This window comes from Homo sapiens, chromosome 8 (genome assembly GCF_000001405.40).
Source record: "Homo sapiens chromosome 8, GRCh38.p14 Primary Assembly".
NCBI lineage: Eukaryota > Metazoa > Chordata > Mammalia > Primates > Hominidae > Homo > Homo sapiens.
The window spans coordinates 10,992,266-11,010,542 of NC_000008.11; the positions used below are offsets into that span (position 1 = coordinate 10,992,266).

The following is an 18,277-nucleotide window of genomic DNA, read 5'->3' on the forward strand; positions in this document are numbered from 1 at the left end:
CTCTCTGTCTCTCTCTCTCTCTCACACACACACACACACACATTCACACACCAGAGACCAACAGATTTTAGTGGCTGCTTATTAGAATGAAGACTCCATCTATCTGAAAGCCCATCCCTCTGACTGTGCCAGATCTCTGTGTCTAACTGGTCCCTAATTCCCTCTCCGTGTGGAGGGGCAGATGTGCTTCTTTCATCAGCTCACTGGCACTGCTTCTAAACAAGGTCTCTATTCCTTCAGACAGTGAGAAACTCAGGGCTCAACCTTGAATGAGCAGCAGCCTGCAAACCTTGCAGACAGATCCGCTTGTTAAAGGGAACTCTAATCCCTCTTGTTCTTATCATGAAGGAAGACCTAGATTGGACATCAAGAGAAAGAACCTAGAGCAGATCCCCCTCTCACCATTGACCTTGAACAATTCCCTGACCTCTTCCCTCCTGTTAGCCAAGCAGTGACTGTGCACCAAGTCAATTCTGCATCTAGAGAGAAAGTCTCCAAGAGACAAGTGATGCTGCAACTGACGCAGGAGATGGGAAGAGGAGATGGTCCTTGAGGCACGTCCACAGCCCCTGGGACAACGCCACCAAATGGATGTCTCCATGATCTCACGAAGTTCCCGAATGGTGCTAACCAACCACCACGCCGAGCTGAGGTGGCAAACTACCTGAGAAGGTCATAGAATGTCACCTTTCCCAATGACTGGATTCTTCACATGTCTTTTAAAAATGGGTGTCTGGTCTGTAGCAAACAACACGGAGAAAGAGAAGTGGGAGGTGGGAAAGAGAGGCAAGATTATTTTTAAAAGTGTATATGTGTGTGTATCTACATTTATATAAATAGCAACCAGAATGGAACACGGAGGGCTTTTACTATTTTAAGGACAAGCTCCAGTAGTAAAGTAATCTTCTGAGTGACGCCACTTTTTGGCTGGTAGCTCTCGCGCCCAGGCGAGGCTGGGATGCTTTTTATTCAAGTCACATTGAATGCCTCTTACCAATCCATCCATCTTAATCAGCACCTACCACTTGCAGCAGCGGCCCTGCAGTCAGGAAGCCAAGGGGACGGGGGTGTGAGGGCAGTGGCGAGAGGTGACATCATAGAAGGAAGAAAGGAAAGAAAGCGGGTGGGAAGAGCTGGTGAGGAGGGAGGAGGCGGGGACCCAGCTGTCCCACACCTCTGCATGCCTCCTTCAACTGGATGATGCTCTCAGCCAGGTGGCAGGCTGAACACTGAGCGGGCCCAGGGCCTGTGTCTTCAGGGTGGACACGCTGCAGTGCTCAGCCGTTCCAAAAGCAGGTGGCCCTGCACCTGCGGCTACTGAGGCCGGGTGCAGAGGAGCTGGTACTAAGCAGGGGAGAGGCTGGGGGCTGTCCCTTGAATCTCCCTTCTGCCCTGCTCCTAGCTCACCCGACACTGGGAGCCCCTTTGTCTTCCAGCAACATGCCCCCAGCCCACTTGACTTCTGACCCACTCATGCCACTCCTGCTCCTCCTCTGTGGTCCTTTAGAATATTTCTGTTGTGGCTTCAGTTGCCCCCAAAGCCCAGTTATTCAAAGAGGGGCTGGGGTTCCCTACCTCACTCAGCCTTAGCTATATAGCCCTATACCTGCAGCCTCAGCCCACCCCATGGCAATCAGGGTAGGGCCTGGAGTGAATTCTGCAGCTGCAGACCTGAACTCAGCAAACCTCTGTGCCCACCAAGCCTTGCTCTGCCCTATCATGAGGCCTATATCCTGTTTGGTGTTTCAGTTACCTTCAGTAGCTGGGATCCACTAGAAACTGCAGTCCCCTTGGCTGGGCCCCTGAAAGTCTTGCCACCCCCTGAACATGGTTCCCCAACCTCTAACTGATAGCTGAAGTCCTCCCTGCAAAGAACCCACCATGCAATTGGGTTTCCCACTGTCATCCTGCCAGGGGGCTCCTAAGAACTAAACCCTGGAGAAATTGCCACCAATCTGAATCCACCCTGAGCTTTTCGTGCACCTTCAGACCCTCTCATTTTGAGTTGCTGCACTGTCTTCAGAGTCAGCCTCGGCTAAGCCAGCTCCCCCAGCCTGGCTCTAGGCCCCTCTCCTGGGGATGGCACTCAGCTGCATCCTCTGGATGTGACACCCCCCATGCAGCGCTGGAGGGCTTGGGCTTAGGTCTGTGGAGTTCCAGCTTCTCAAAATGCAGGGTGAGTGGCAGACCAGCAGCAAGATTCTTTGCCAGAGGAAGGGCAGAGGTGGGCTCTGCAAGGCGCCTGTCCTCATGCCTGGTCCCCACATGGTCACATCTGCTCTAAGAATCAAATCTGGGAACCAGAGTCCATGATCAGAGTTGGGAGTAACCTGTGTGTTATTTCCACACTCAGGTGTCTCCGAGCCTTAAGAAACTAATGTGCATTGAGTGTGTACTCTCCACTTATCTGCTTCTTACTCCATTTAATCAGCAGAACAGCTATGGAAGAAAAAAAATACCCATTTTATCGATGAGGAAACTAACTCGGGACTTTAGCAATTTGTCTGAGTTATGGAACTAATTAACAATACAGCCAGAATGCAAATAAAAATCAAATTCCAAAGCTCATGAGGCCTCCCCCTAAATTTTAGCCCAGAAAAAGGACAGCAGTGGGTGGGACAGCAAAAACATGTGGATGGGGGAAGAGAAGACGGGGATACACAGAAAACACACTTCCAGTGTCACAAGTCCCATCTTAGCCAAGGCCACACAAAGAGAGATGAGCTCAAGCCCTGTGTCACATTCACCCGTCTATGGTGGGGCCTCCTTGTACGAACAGCATTGTCTGAGAAGGCCCTGCAGCTAGCGAGACTCAGGCTAGGTCAACATTGCAAAAAGCCTTAATGATTCATGATCACACAGGATGTATAGACGAGAGCATTTTTGCCTTTACTATCTATCAGTGTATGCCGGTAAGAGGCAGGAGATAGGAAAAATCCATTTGTGAGCTGTTAAATTTGGGGTGTCGGCTGGGCATGGTGGCTCACACCTATAATCCCAGTGCTTTAGGAGACTGAAGCAGGTGGATCACTTGAACCCAGGAGTTCAGGACCAGCCTGGACTGCATGATGAAACCCTATATCACATATATATATATGTTATATATGATATATGTATATGATATATATAGTAGATATATATATCTACTATATTTACTATATCTACTATAACCCTATATCTAATATATATATTATATATAATACATATAAAACCCTATATCATATATATATATATACACACACACATATACACACACACACATATATATATAAATTAGCCAGGCATGGTGGCACACGCCTGTGGTCCCAGCTACTTGGGAAGCTGAGGTAGGAGAATCACTTGAGCCTGGGAGGTTGAGGCTGCAGTAAACTGTGATCATGCCACTGCACTCCAGTCTGGGTGACAGAGTGAGACCCTATCTCCCCACCAAAAAAAAAAAAAAAAATTGAGGGCATTAATTTTCAAGGCTGAACTAGAAATCAGGAAAGCTGCCTACGATGAAGGCTGCACCTGGCCAGAGGGTGAAGTAAATGGAGGAAAAGGAGACTCTTCCAGGCCAGAGGCTGCAAATGTGAGAGGGCAATCCTTCCTCTTTGGTGAAGACCATCATGGTGAGATGAGGCCTGAGCACCTGTAGTTGAATCAGACGAATGGCTTGCAACTTATACTGGCCCATGACCTTGGGCAAGCCACCTCTTGTTGGGCCTCCATTTCCTTGTTTACATGATATAAAGGGATTTAAATAGATCCTCTCTATAACGCCTTTCACAACCAAGGATCTGGAATTCTACACTACAGATTCATATAGATATAAATGGAGAGAGGGATTTTAAAGACAGCAATGCTTATAAAATGAAATACTTTTCTTCAGTAATCATTATCTGTTACCAACTTCTCAGGTCAATAATCTTTCTCATAGAAATTGACCAAAATATTGCACTGTAACCCACTGTGATTTTTTTACTTCTACTAAGAGGTGCTCCTGGGGGTGTGTGGAACAGTGGGCCCCCTCAGCTGCATGTGAGCTGGTGTCAAAAGCTCTGGCGGGCCCTCTCCTCCTTGTTCAGTAATTTCTGCCGCTGCTGACAATATCTTGTTACTGCTCCCAGGTAATTTGAGGGAAAGCTTTCAGTTGCTTTTATATGTTCTGCTTTTTTTCTTACCTTCTTTGGATGCAGCAGAAGTTAAGTGAGAAGGACCAGAGCACATCTCTATACTGCTAAGAGCAAGAAAGAAAATTTTCCCAATTACAGGTTTTCTCTGCAATTTTCCTCTTTGAAGAACAGAACACCATACACCCCCAGCTCCAATCTCTTAGGTTTTTGTCTGCTGTATCTACAAGTGGCGTAAATGGGAATATATGTGAGGGGCAGGGGTAAGGGATGGGTGTGTTGGGTGAAGACTGTTCTGGTCCATAAAAAAGGGGCTGGCTTTAGGGAAAGAAGACACTAACAAGAAAAGTCTGGGCTCGGCATGGTGGTTCATGCCTGTAATCCTAGCACTTTGAGGGGCCAAGGTGGGAGGATCACTGGAGGCTAAGAGTTTGAGACCTACCTAAGCAACATAGTGGCACATGCCTATAGTCCCAGCAGCTCAGGAGGGTGAGGCAGGAGGATGGCTTTGAGCCCAGGAGTCTAGGGCTGCAGTGAGCTATGATGGCTCCACTGCACTCCAGCCTGGGCAATAGAGAGAGACCCTGCGTTTATTTAAAAAATAAAATAAAATAACAACAAATGTCTGCTTTTAACTCTGCCCCTCTCCCACATCAACAAACACACACACATGTACGCCACAACCTTTCTCATCGTCTGCACCTTCTTTCCAACAAGGTCATTCAGTGTCCTCATTATTTCTTTTCTCAAACTCCATCATCAGTACAACCTTCGTAGCTTTTATGTATGCTTTATTATAAATGACCCCACCTAGCAAAGACACACAGAGCACCAAGTTCATGCCAGCCACCATGCTCAGCCCAACAACACACCTTATACATACCTGTTTTTTTCTGTGCTCCAAGAACTTGACCTGTTTTAACTCCTTTAATCCTCAGAACAACCTCTTGAGGTGACCACTGTTACTATTTCCATTGTACAGATTGGGGAGATGGGGTACAAATGCTGTCCAAGGCTACATAGCCAACAAATAGGGCAGCCAGGATGTAAACCCAGAGAGCAGGGGTGGCGGTCTGAGCTCAGCCCCCTCAGAGCATTCCACAGACCCTGCCTTATTCTAGCTGGTGAGATAGCCATAGGAAAAAATGATTAAGATGCATGTACAGAGTTTCTCCTTACAAATGAGATGAGGGTTATGGAGAGGAGGCCATTCCAGGGGAGAGAATGTGCCAGGGCACAGCCTAGAGTCATGAGCCTCTGCAGGAGGCGTGTGGAAATGCAATGAGGGTGTGGAAATGCAATGAGGCTAAAGTGGGAGGTGCTGGCAACTAAAACTACTAGGGGGATTGGGTCCAGATAATGAAGAATGATGAAGACAAGGAAGGAGCAGGAGCTAAACAAAGCTGTCTCCCATCCCTCCCAGAGACTCCACGTTCACAAGCAGCGCTGCCTGGAACTGTGGACTAGAATGTCAGGCACAACCGGGGTCAGAGGGGGAAGGCAAGAAAGCAACTTGACCTTAAAATAGCATGCTGAGAGACACCTGCAGTCTCAATCACAGGATGCTTCCCATAGCTGAAGAGGAATTTACAAAGATTCTAACCCCACTCTGTATTTTACAGAAGAGAAGGCTGAAGCCACAGAGGAGAGGCAACAGGTCTGAAGAGACACCTATGCGTGCAGCAGGACAACAGGGGATTGGGGGTCACCAGCTCACCCCAGAGAGGGTCCAGCACTCACTTCTAAGATTCGCCAGCTTCCCCCGCCAGAGAGCGTCCAGCACTCACTTCTAAGATCACCCCTTCTCCCACTGAGACAGCTAGCCTTGCACAAGGCATTCCCAAGCAAGCTCCCCAACAATATAAGGAGAAGAAAGAGAAGGAGTGGCTACACACACACACACACATACACACACACACACACCTCTTAGTTGTCATTTTGAACCTAATTGTTTTAACACCAGCTGTCACATCTGCAGAATTCTTCTCTGGTACTAGTGACCTGCAAGCCCTAGAATAACGAGTCTGCGTTTAAAAATAGCCCAAATTCCTAGAATTCACCTCTCCTTCTCACTCTCCCTTCTCCATCTTACTGACAGGCCTGGTAAGAGCTCCACTTCAAATTTATGAGTATAATGTCAAGAAAATTTGATTCAGATTTATTAGGAGTGGTAGAGCAAAGCGTGGACAAGAGCAGCAGCTGATGAGGCAGAGACCTGGGTTCTGTCTCCAGCAGAGCAGGCTGCAAACCTTGGCTGACAGCCTTGAGCCCCAGGGGATTGGCTCTCTCCAGGTCACCCAGCTAGGACACTCACTGCCTCCACTTCTCCCAGCCAGCTCCATTTCCGCTGGGCTCTCTGCAGAGAAGCACCCCTACCCCTGAAACCTGACCACCCCCTTTTGGTGGTGGACTCACTAGCTCCCTACAACCAGTCCCAGATCCCACAGATTCTGTTCCTTCTGCCTCCAAGCAGCATGGCAGCAAGGGAGAAGAAAATTATGCAGCCCAATATACCCAGGATGGAATCCTGAAACAGCTGTCGACCAACTGTGTAGCCTGAGAATCAAACCCCTGAATCTCTCCAAGTCTCAGATTCCCATCAGGAAAACCTAGCTCCAGTGATTGTTCTGAGGGTCAACATAAAGGACCAAGTACCCTCCTCTCAATGCTTGGAAGAAAACAGAAATTCTTACAAAAACGTTTGTTTTCTTCTCCCTCCTAGGTCTAGCTGCCTTATTCTTTCAAATCCATCAAGCATGCATTAATATCAGGACAGGGATTTCAGTCCTAAGGACCCACTATGTGTGTGAAGGGCTCAATCGTGGGATTATTTATGCCCATTGAGAAAGTGGCAACAAGTTGTATATCCAACATTAAGGAAATGACTGTTATGATTCACCTCTTGCATGAAAATACTGCACAGGCATTCCAATTCTATTCTGTTGGCTAAGGAGATGCACATAATATGGTGTTGAAAGAAAAATTCAGGATACAAATTGTATTTAGAATATGTTCTCATTAATGTGAATGAAAATGCTACAATAAAATGAGGCAAAATGTTGACAGACGGTTTCTGGATAGTGGACTTACTAGTGAGAGTTTTCTTTTTATATATACTTCTTTATCTTCAGAAGAAATTTTTTCAAGAAATAAATCACTGATCACCAGATTCTAGTTTCAGAAAAGAAGGGTTTGGTCAATGCTATGGTGAAGGGAGTATCCTCTCCTCCCATATATTGGTTTTATAGAACCAAAATAAAAGTTCTAAAAAAGGATGTTCTGCAGATGTGACCAAGCTACCAAAATAAAAGTTCCAACAAAGGATGTTCTGCAGATGTGACCAAACAAGGAGGTAGCATAAAAAGAATCAGGAAATGAGCCTTATTCTGTATGCCGTTGGGTTGATGCAGGTGACTCGGGACAGCATGAGATGCTCAGCTCCAGGCCATGATGCAAATCATGGGGCAGGGTCAAGAAGGCATCTCCCCACATGCCAAGAGTTAAGACCAACTAGGAGAGCACCAGTGTTTCTTATAAACTAACAAAGGATTAAGAGAAATATGGGCAAGGAAGGTATTTGATTTCACGGTCTCCATATGACTTCCCAGACTGTGGGTTTGGCTAATGGCATTCCATCTGTGAAGACAACTTCAAAACTCCACTTTGAGGAGGGCTGAAGAACACCTAAGCCAACACACTCATGTTAAAGACAAAGAAACAGACCCATGGGATGAATTCTCTCAGAGGCACCAAGACTATTAAAGAAATACTGAATAAGAACCAAGACTTCCTCACCCCTGGTCCTGTCTTCCTTCTACTCATTCTAGGTGGTGAACCTAGAAGCTCCTTCAAAGCTAGAAGGCAACAGGACAGGAGAGCCAAAGAGCCCCTTACTGGTGTCCTCTAGTGAGGAAACAGTTTGCAAGGCTGAAATGGTGTGCAAAGGAGAAACAAGTAGCAATGCATCATAATATGTTGTTTTCTTCCTCGTGGAGCACATAATTCCACTTCAGTAGACACATATTAGGCCAGGTGTGGTAGCTCATGCCTGAAATCCAAGCTCTTTGGGAAACTGAGGTGGATGCATCACTTGACGTCAAGAGCTCGAAACCAGCCTAGCCAGCATGGTGAAACCCCCGTCTACTAAAAATGCAAAAATTAGCCAGGCACAGTGGCACACGCCTGTAGTCCCAGCTACTCGGGAGGCTGAGGTGGGAGAATTGCTTCAACCCAGGAGGCAGAGATTGCAGTGAGCCAAGATCGCACCACTGCACTCCAGTCTGGGCAAGAGAGCCAGACTCTATCTCAAAAATAAATAAATAAAAATAAAGGCACATATTACATGTTTTGGGGTCTCATGATTCTACACGAGAGCTCTCTCTGCTAGTTCATCTTCTCATGGTGGAGAAGGCTGTTTTTAACTGGATGTGAAGGGCCGGAATGGAAGTAAGATGCATAGCCGGGAAAGGAAATTCCCAGATGAGATTCCACGAACACTTTCTGGACACGTGGTCCAGAGAGTATATCCCTCCAGCCATCAACCAATGCCTACACCCCTTCCTTGGCTCAGCCTTTGCTTTTCTGGCAGCCAAGTGTCCCCTGCCCCCTTCCTCTGATTCAGAAGGTGGACACCACCCCCAACTGAAACAAACCTCAAGTATGAACTCTGGATTTAGGAGCGAAAATGCAGAACAATTGCTGGCCTCATTGGATGACTTTGCACATGGGGAGTGAGAAACCAAATCCTAAAATTGGTTGAACACGTGCTATGTGTTAGGTGCCATACACAAATTTTCTCCTCCTACTCAACCACAACTCAGTGAAGGAAGAACTCCCCTTCCGATGGAGAAACAGAGGCTCAGAAAGCTAAAAACTAACTTGTTTAGGGCCAGCTAGTGAATAAATGGCCTCTTCATAATGTTGTTTAGGGCCAGCTAGTGAATAAATGGCCTCTTCATAATGTTGTTTAGGGCCAGCTAGTGAAGAAATGGCCTCTTTATAATGCACTGCTCTGAGGCACCCTCAAATAGAAGCTGAAGTTGACAGTGAGGAAGGGACCACAGCTAGACTCTCGAATATTCAAACTATTACCTCTGCAAAGATAGGAGTTTATCCCAATTGAGCAGAAACATGTCTAACATGTAAAGAAAAACTCCTCTCTACCCCTATAGCCAGTCCTTGGATCCCAATTCTGGGCCAGGCAGGCCTCTCCTTACCCTGCCTCTGGACTACCCAAGAGTCAGCAGGGCCCCCCATTCCTGGAGATGAGGGTTGTAGCCGTTGCTGCACCGCAAAAGCTCAGGCAGAGTTAGAACAGAGGGGCAGAGAGAGCCCCATGTGTTAATGAGAAGCTGGCTGAAGTCCACAAGGACTTCCTGCCTGGCTCCTTCAGAACCTACCAGCCTCCCAGTGGGCAGAGCAGCCCAGGCCAGCAGCTCACTGCCGGTCAGGGGCAAGCGGCACTGTGCTGTGGGTCTGGTCTCACTGTGGCCTGGAGAGACCTTGGAGAGCCCTGGTCCCTCTGCTGTTCAGCCTCTCCAGCCCCACCATACCCGTTGCTCCCCACAGCACTTCCTTCCAGCAGACCTCAGTTTTCTAACCAGGCCAATGGGATTATAGAGATAAGTCTTCTCTTCTCCTTTAGGAAATGCCCTAAGAAGACAAATCCATGTCGTTACCATGTGAGTTAAAAAAAAAAAAAAAACACACAAAAAACCTCCTTCCAGGTCCCTGCCAAGAAAGTGCAAATGCTTCCGCCTCTGTGCACTTTGTCAAAGGCATCACCCTGCTGTGAATGCCTCACCCTCCCCAATCCTGAGAGGGCCAGCACCATTCCTCCACAAAGCCACTCCCCTCTGACTTCCACAAGCATCCCATGGCACACTTTCCTTGTATTGTAAAGACTGTGTTCATCTTTAATCAGATGTGAAGAGCTGGAATGGAAGTAAGATGCATAGCCTGGAAAGGCTGGACCATGACCTTTGCAGGGGAAGGCTCAGCCAGCACTCACCCAGCAGTTCTGTTGGCCTGGGGGAGGCCCGCGTGCAGCAGTACACAGTGTTTGCAGTTCTCTTCATCTCCAGGAGAAGGCAGGAGAAAAAGACTCAAGAATCAAAGCCAACCGATACACTGAGCAAGCAGGAATGGGGAAGGTGTGGTGCATACCCAGAGCCCTGTGGCTGGGCGGGGCTTTGCCATCTGGTCACCCTCCCAGCCAGCACAGGAAGGCCTTTGGTAATATGCCTGATGGGGGACACAGACGTGACAAGTCATCATTCTCACCACGCCAACCATGGGATGGCCCAGGCCCAGGGGGTGGTGCGAGTTCAACGGCCCCAAGCATTGTCTTCTTCCACCACCATCATAGACAAGGTGCGGGCTCAGTGCTAAGGATGGTACTGCAGAAAGGAGATAGAAGGGAAATAAACACAGTCTCCCTCCTCAGGTGCTGATGTTTATTCCAGATGGGATATAAAAGTCACCGGTGGAAATAATCTGGGTATGGTTACAGAGCAAGGCACTTCTGAATGAAAATCATGATGTTGAATCAGATGTTGGATAGGAGGCCCTTGTTGGGGCACCAAAGCCCAGAGAAGGGGGGTCACTGGCTAAGGGGACCACTGAAAAAAAAAAACCTCCAATCTAACAATTCCAAGTCAGGGACACTCCCTGCTTCAGCTCACAAAATTTGCAACTGGGGAGGACTCAGAAGGAAGGTTCAGCCAACCAGGTTAATTCAGGAAGCATCAACCCACCACCTGCCAAAGCAGGTGAGCCTTGAAATAATAGAGTACGTACTCTATGTCAGACACCAAGGAGGCACAGATGAAGCTGCACACCACCTGGCATTGTAGTGATCAGGTTCTAACAGAAGAACAAGTACAACATCATTGTCAACACCATCATCATCACCACCACCTCATCATCACCACCATCACCACCACCACCATCATTATCATCACAGCCATTCTCACCATCATCACTACCATCATCGTCATTACATCACTAACAATGTCATCATTATCACCATTATCATAATTATCATCAACATCATCACCATCACCACAATCATAGTCACTATCATCACCATCAACCACCACCATCACCATCTTCACCAGTGTCAGTCATCACTGTCATAGCTACCAGACTGATACTAATACTATTATACCTAATCTGTGTAAGTACTGGGGAATACATTGTCTTTAATCCTCAAATAATCCTTTTAAAGTAGGAATTATTATCTTCATTTTACAAATGCAAAGTGAGGCTCAGAGAAGCCATGCAGCCTGCTCAAAGTCAAACTGTAAGAACTGGGATTCTGGAGCAGGTCTTTTGGACTACAGACTCTGCCCTCTTTCTGTCATTCCAAGCTGTCTCCATCAACAAATAATTATGCTAACACATAATAAATGCTCTAACAGGCATATGTATGGAGGACAGAGAAGGGTGTGGTTAATTCTGCCTGTGATGAGAGCAAAAGGTTCCCAAGGGAGAAAAGAGTCCAGGTGAACCGTCCAGAGGGCTTTCAAGTTCTCCTGGTGGGAAGAGGGATGGCCATATACTTCAAGGAGAGGAGACAGCAGGTGCAAAAGCAGAGAGTGGCGAAGGAAGGGCGGGTGGCTGTGGAGTAGTGGGTCCTGGGGCATCACAAGAGTGAGTGAGCAGAGCAGCGACAGCAGGACTAGAACATGAGGACCTTGTCCACTGAGCCCTGAGCTGCAGAGATGGAGCGAAGTCTGGGAGTTATGAGGAGCCCTGGGAGTCTTGGGCTGGGGCAGTGAAATGCTCAAGTCTATGTTAAAAAGCTCCTGTGGGGCCGGGCGTGGTGGCTCACGCCTGTAATCCCAGCACTTTGGGAGGCTGAGGCAGGTGGATCATGAGGTCAGGAGTTCGAGACCAGCCTGACAAACATGGTGAAACCTCATCTCTACTAAAAATACAAAAATTAACCGGGCATGTTGGCGCACACCTGCAATACCAGCTACTTAAGAGGCTGAGGCAGAAGAATCACTTGAACCCAGGAGGCGGAGGTTGCAGTGAGCCGAGATCATGACGCCACTGCACTTCAGCCTAGGCGACACAGTGAGAGTCCATCTCAAAAATAAATAAATAAATAAATAAAAAATAAAGCTCCGGTGGGACAAAGATATATTGACCAGGTGGTTTATTATCCTGATGTTTACAAAAAGTAGCAACTGCCTACCAGGCCAGCAACAGGGAGCTGGTTAAACAAAACTTGTTGCTCATCCACAGTGGAACCCTCTGCAGTTATTAAAAATTATATCTATGAGCCAGCAATTCCTCTTCTGAAGCTATATCCCAAATAATTAAAAGCAGGGACTCAAACAGATAATTGTATATCCATGTTCACAACAACATTATTCACAATAGCCAAAAGGTGGAGACAACCCAAGTGTCCATCAAACAATGAATGGATAAACGTGTAGTTTACACACATGATGAAACATTATTCAGCCTTAAAAAGGAAAGAAATTCTGGCCCATGCTACAACATGGATGAACCTTGCAGACCTTATGCTAAATGAAATCAGCCAATCACATAAAGACAGAAATTGTATGATTCTACTTAAATGACGTACCAAGAGTAGTCAAATTCATAGGAACAGAAAGTAGAACAGAATGTGGTACAGTCCCTCTGCAACCTTATCCATGGGAGATACGTTTCAGTGGATGCCTGAAACCACAGATGGTACAGAACTCTATATATACTAAGTTTTTTTCTCATACAGTCACATTGTATAGGGCAGGTAGTGTGTCCAGCATACATACGTGGAACAAAGGGATGATTCACATCCCAAGCAGAATGACGCAAGATTTCATCATGCTGCTCAACATGGCACACAACTCAAAACTCATATATTGTTTATTTTCAGAATTTCCCATTTAATATTTTTGGACTATGGTTGACCTTGGGTAACTAAAACCACATAAGGTGAAATCTTGGATAAGAAGTGACTGTAGTAGATATAGATATATATATATATACATATCTCCAATGGAAGGGCTGGAGGGAAGTGGGATGGGGAGCAGTTATTTAATGGGCATGGAGTTTCCATTTGGGAAGATGAAAATGTTCTGGAAATGGACGGTGGTAATGGTTGTACAACACCATGGATGTACTCAATGCCACTGAACTGTACACTTAAAAATTGTTAAAATGGGAAGTTTTCTGTTATTTATAATTTCCCACAATGAAATATGATGATACGAGTGTGTATTAACATGCAAATATGGTACGATGTGTTCGTTAAGGAAAAATACATCACATTGTAATCCCATTTTATATATGAATTTGCTAGCAAAAATATTATAAGATAGGAATCAAATTTAAACAGTGGCTATCTCTGAATGCTGAGATTATATTTTATTTTCCTCTTTTTCATATCTACAGTTTTCAAGGTTTGTATGATAGACATATATAATAAAAATATTTTTTCTTTCTTTCTTTTTTTTTTTTTTTTTTTGAGATGGAGTCTCCCTCTTTTGCCCAGGCTAGAGCATAGTGGCACATTCTCAGCTCACTGCACAGTCTGCCTTCTGGGTGCAAACTATTCTCGTGCCTCAGCCTCCCGAGTAGCTGGGATTACAGATGCCCGCTACCACGCCTGGATAATTTTTGTACTTTCAGTAGAGACGGGGTTTCACCATGGTGGCCAGGCTGGTCTCGAACTCCTGACCTCAAGTGATCCGCCCGCCTCGGCCTCCCAAAGTGCTGCGATTACAGGCGTGAACCACTGTGACTGACTAAAAATTTTTCAATTAAAGAGGAGAGAAAGAAAAATAAGAGATTAATTGGTGATTGATTCACTAGAGAGTAGGGTGAGAAATGAGCTGGGGAGAGAACAAATGGAAGCAGAAGAGCCAGTTAGTGGCCTAGTAGGACACTGATTCCTTCATTCAGCGCCTACTGTGGACAATGTGGCACTGAGAGGAGGCCTTCTGCCTGGGTATTATTAGGGTGGAGGGAACAGTGTGCTGCCCCTATGGTCACAATTGTCACTATCCATCCCTTATCGTATGTTGCATGTCTGAGACATGCCAGTCATTGGAGACATCAATGACCAACATACTTTTTCTGTCCTGTGAGGATGTATATTCTATTGATGAGAGACAGAAAAGTAAACCACCAAGTGGAATAGAGTAAGGCATCTGTAGATGAACAGGGTTGTGGGTACACACAGAGTGAAGACAATGTCCCTGCATTGCTGGTGTCTGCAGACATGCAGGCTGGGCCCAGGGCAGTGAGGCTTGGTGTTCCAAGCAGAGGGAATAGCATGTGCAAAGGCTCAGAGGACCCAGAGAGCTAAGTGGGCCATTACAAACAGAATTTGTAGGATTTCTGTCCTTGGAGACCTTACAGACCAAGCCAGATGGCTCTCTCTAGCTGGATATGGAGTTCCCTGTGGCTGCCGCTGCAGGTTACCCTACCAGCTACCAGCTGCCTCCTCTCTCTTTGTTTATAGAAGCCCATCTCTATTCTAGCTGCAACACAGAGTGTAGATTCTTTCCCTAGCCTCAGGGCGTGAATATGATTGGTCCAAGTCAAGCAGTTCATCCTGTTTCCCTTTACTAATGATTAGCGTAGGGACAGACATAAGACCAAATTCTGGGTAATGGACCCCAAGAGGAACCCTACCAGTTGGCTTCTGATCAGGATTTAATTCCTGAATAAGAGGAAAGAGCTGCTACAAAAAAAAGTCTTGTTGTATCTGTCTTCTTGCCTCCAGCCTGGGATGCTGTTCTGATGCTTGGAGCTGTGGCAGCCAATGTATGACCATGAGGGATAGGTCAGGAGAGTCATAGAGATAGGAATTCAACATCCAAACACTTTGGAATGGCTAGACCATTCTTGGCATTGTCCATCTCCAGTGTCTTGTCATGTATGATAGTTAAATGCCTTTGTTTTTGAGCCTCTCTTCAGCATTCAGTTCCTTGCAGCCAAGTGCATCTTAAGCAATATCCCTGCCTCAAGACTAGGGGCTAATGTGCAAGCTTCTGTCGCTCAGCAGCAAAGCCTGGGTCTCAAGGATCATCTGATGCCTAAAAGCCAAAATCATGCCTACAGCAACAGACCTCCACTGCGGCCTCTCGCATGGACGAAGAAACACAGCCAGTAATGTCGTTTCCATTCATCTCTCCTCATCATCGCCATCAATACTGATGAGTCACGTGCAGCACAGATTATGCCTGACCCACAGAGGAAGGCAGACTGGAGGAGTCAGCTCTTCCCTCTCAAAACAAAGCACACTCGGTGGAAGAGGCAGGAAACAAACAAACAAACAAAAAAGCAAAAGGAAATCTACCCAGATCTTACCTACTCCTGGTTGCTGTAAGGGTTGGGGGTGGAGGAACAGAGGCAGCAGGGCAAGGTGCCTGCAGTCTATCTCTGGTGTCCCCTGGCTTCCTGCAGCTCCCCTTCTCCTCTCTGGGCTTGTATCTTTTCCTAGCGGTAGGAGAGGTAAAATTCGGGAGTGCACAACAAGCAGGCAGGGAGCTTGAGCCCTTGGAAGCAGATGGCAGGGGCAGAGTGGGGGGAGGGCAGGGCAGAGCAGAGCAGAGCAAAGCAGCATGGGGCGAGACCTGGATGTGTGGGTGCTCCCTGGGAGAGAAGACAGGGAAGCAGGCGTTTGCTTTTTTTTGACTGTAGCATTCAGGCGTTCACACAGGGGCAAGGCAGTGAAGGACCTCACCTGTGCACCTGGGGGAAGGCTGCCACGTTTACTCTTTCCTTTTACTCTCACGATGCCCTGTCCTGCTCAAATACCCTCGGTGGCTTCTGCTGTCTACAGAATGAAGCCCAATCTCTCTAGCTTGTCTTCCCCAATCCATCCCACCCCACCAGCCTCACTGGCCACTTGGCTCCAACATGATGCAAAAAGGCCCAAGGGTGGCCTGAGCACCCGGACACTGAGGCAGGTAGGCAGTGCATGAAAAGTCCACAGACTACAGCCAGGCCTTCTTTCCTTCTTTGTTCCCCTCTTCCTCAGGCTGGACGCATCCCCTAAAGGGGGCTCCCCAGGCTTTTTTTTTTTTTTTTTTTTTTGACAGGGTCTCGCTTTGTCACCCAGCCTGGAACGCAGAGGCACAATCTTTGCTCACTGCAACCTGCAACTCCTGGGCTTAAGCCATCCTCCCATTTCAGGCTCCTAAGTAGCTGGGACCACAGGTGCATGCCACCATGCCTGGCTAATTTTTTCTTTTTTTAGTACATACGACCCCATTACCCAGGTTGGGCTCAAACTCTTGGGTTCAAATGATCCACCTGCCTCGCCCTCCCAAAGTGCTGGGATTACAGGTGTGAACCACCACCCCGGCCTCCCCAGACTTTCCAAAGGGTTCACCGGTGGACACATGTCTGGGCTGAGTGCTTCCAGGAGCCCTGATGGAGCCACGGTCAAGCGCTCATATCACTGAATGCCATTGGTTGCAGGCCCCCCCGCCCAAGGAGCATGAGGCCCTGCAACCACTGTAGCTTGCTAGGGCTCTTACAGCCTGGGTCCCATCACCCTCTACCAAGGCTGAGGGAAATCTCTTGACATGCACAAAGGTCTTCCAACTCAGAAAGAGCAAGGACCTGAAGGATCCTTTCCTTTTAGATTGTTGTCTAAAGTGGCATATAGGGGTGTTGTTACCACAGACAAAAAGCCAGGCCCCAAATTACACCTCTCCTGGGTAGTCAGCAGCTGTGTGGGGAGGGGGGTGGGAGGTCCTGTTCTGGAGCTTCTTGATCTTTAGCTAATCATTCCATAGTCAATCAATCAATCAATCAAGTTCCGTGTGTGTAAGTGGTGCATGTCTCTTTCGCCCTCTCATTGAAAAGGTATAGGGTTTGGCCGGGCATGGTGACTCACACCTGTAATCCCAGCAATTTGGGAGGCCAAGGTGAGCAGATTGCTTGAGCCCAGGAGTTCAAGACCGGCCTGGGTAACATGGAGAGACCCTGTCTTTACAAAAAATACAAAAATTAGTCAGACATGGTGGTGTGTGCCTGTAGTCCCAGCTACTTGGGAGGCTGAGGTGGCAGGATCACCTGAGCCTGGGGAAGTTGAGGCTGCAGAGAAGAGATCATACCATTGTACTCCAGCCTTGGTGAGAGAGTGAGATCCTGTCTCAAAAAAAGGCAAAACACAACCAAAAAATAGTTATAGGTTTGATGGAGATAGCATGAGCTTAGAACTAAGACAAATTTGGGTTCAAAACTGGTCCCAGATCTTCTGTAAAATGTCTAACCAGCACTCAAAACTGTCAAGCTTATCAAAAACAAGAAAAGTCTGAGAAACTACCAGAATCTAGAGGAGTCTGTGGAGACATGATGGCATCCTGGAAGGTGTTCTGGCACAGAAGAAAGGACATCAGGGAAAACTAAGGAAATCTGAATAAAGCATGGACTTTAATTAACACTAATGTATCAATATTACTTCATTAATCATTGACAAATGTTCCCCACTAATGTGAAGTATTAAGAGTGGAAATGGTATGGAGTGTAGGGGAACTCTCTGTAACACCTTTGTAACAATTCTATAAATCTAAAACTGTTCTAAATTAAAGTGTTTATCAAAAATAAAATAATTGTATTAGTCTGTTCTCACATTGCTATAAAGAACTACCTGAGAATGGGTAATTTATAAAGAAGAGAGGTTTAATTGGCTCTTGGTTCTGCAGACTGTACAGGAAGCAAGGCTGAGGAGCCCTCAGGAAGCTTACAATCATGGTGGAAGGTGAAAGGTGAAAGGAAGTAGTCATCTCTTATATGGCCACAACAGGAGGAAGAGAGAGAAGCAGGAGGTGCTACACACTTTCAAACAACCAGATTTCATGAGAACTCACTTGCTATCACAAGACTGGCAAGGGGGAAGTCCACCCCCATGATCCAATAACCTCCCACCGGGCCCCTCTTCCAACATTGGGAATTACAATTTGACATGAGAATTGGGCAGGAACACAAATCCAAACCATACCAATAATAATAGTAATAGTAAAAACTGGTCCCAGGCACTTATTAGTGGTATGACTTTGGGCAAATGACTTCCCTTCTCTAAGCCTCATTTTCTTGTTTATAAAATGAGACAACAGTACCTGCCTCATGGGTTGGTGTGACTACTGAGTAATGCAACACAGGCACAATGCCCTAGCACAATGCCTAGC

General features: G+C 46.8%; 1 protein-coding gene across 2 annotated transcripts in view, besides 1 other annotated feature; it reads right to left on the minus strand.

Moving 5' to 3' along the window:
* The window catches only part of XKR6 (XK related 6), a 305,789-nt gene that overhangs the window by 96,221 nt on the left and 191,291 nt on the right, over positions 1–18,277 (minus strand). The gene's annotated exons all lie outside the window — the stretch shown is intronic.
* Positions 15,590–16,295: an enhancer, noted in NCBI's record as "H3K4me1 hESC enhancer chr8:10865365-10866070 (GRCh37/hg19 assembly coordinates)". NCBI's record gives its function as "activates a minimal SCP1, AML or CMV promoter by ChIP-STARR-seq in primed H9 embryonic stem cells {active_cell/tissue: H9 hESC(primed)}" and the evidence as "EXISTENCE:reporter gene assay evidence [ECO:0000049][PMID:30033119]".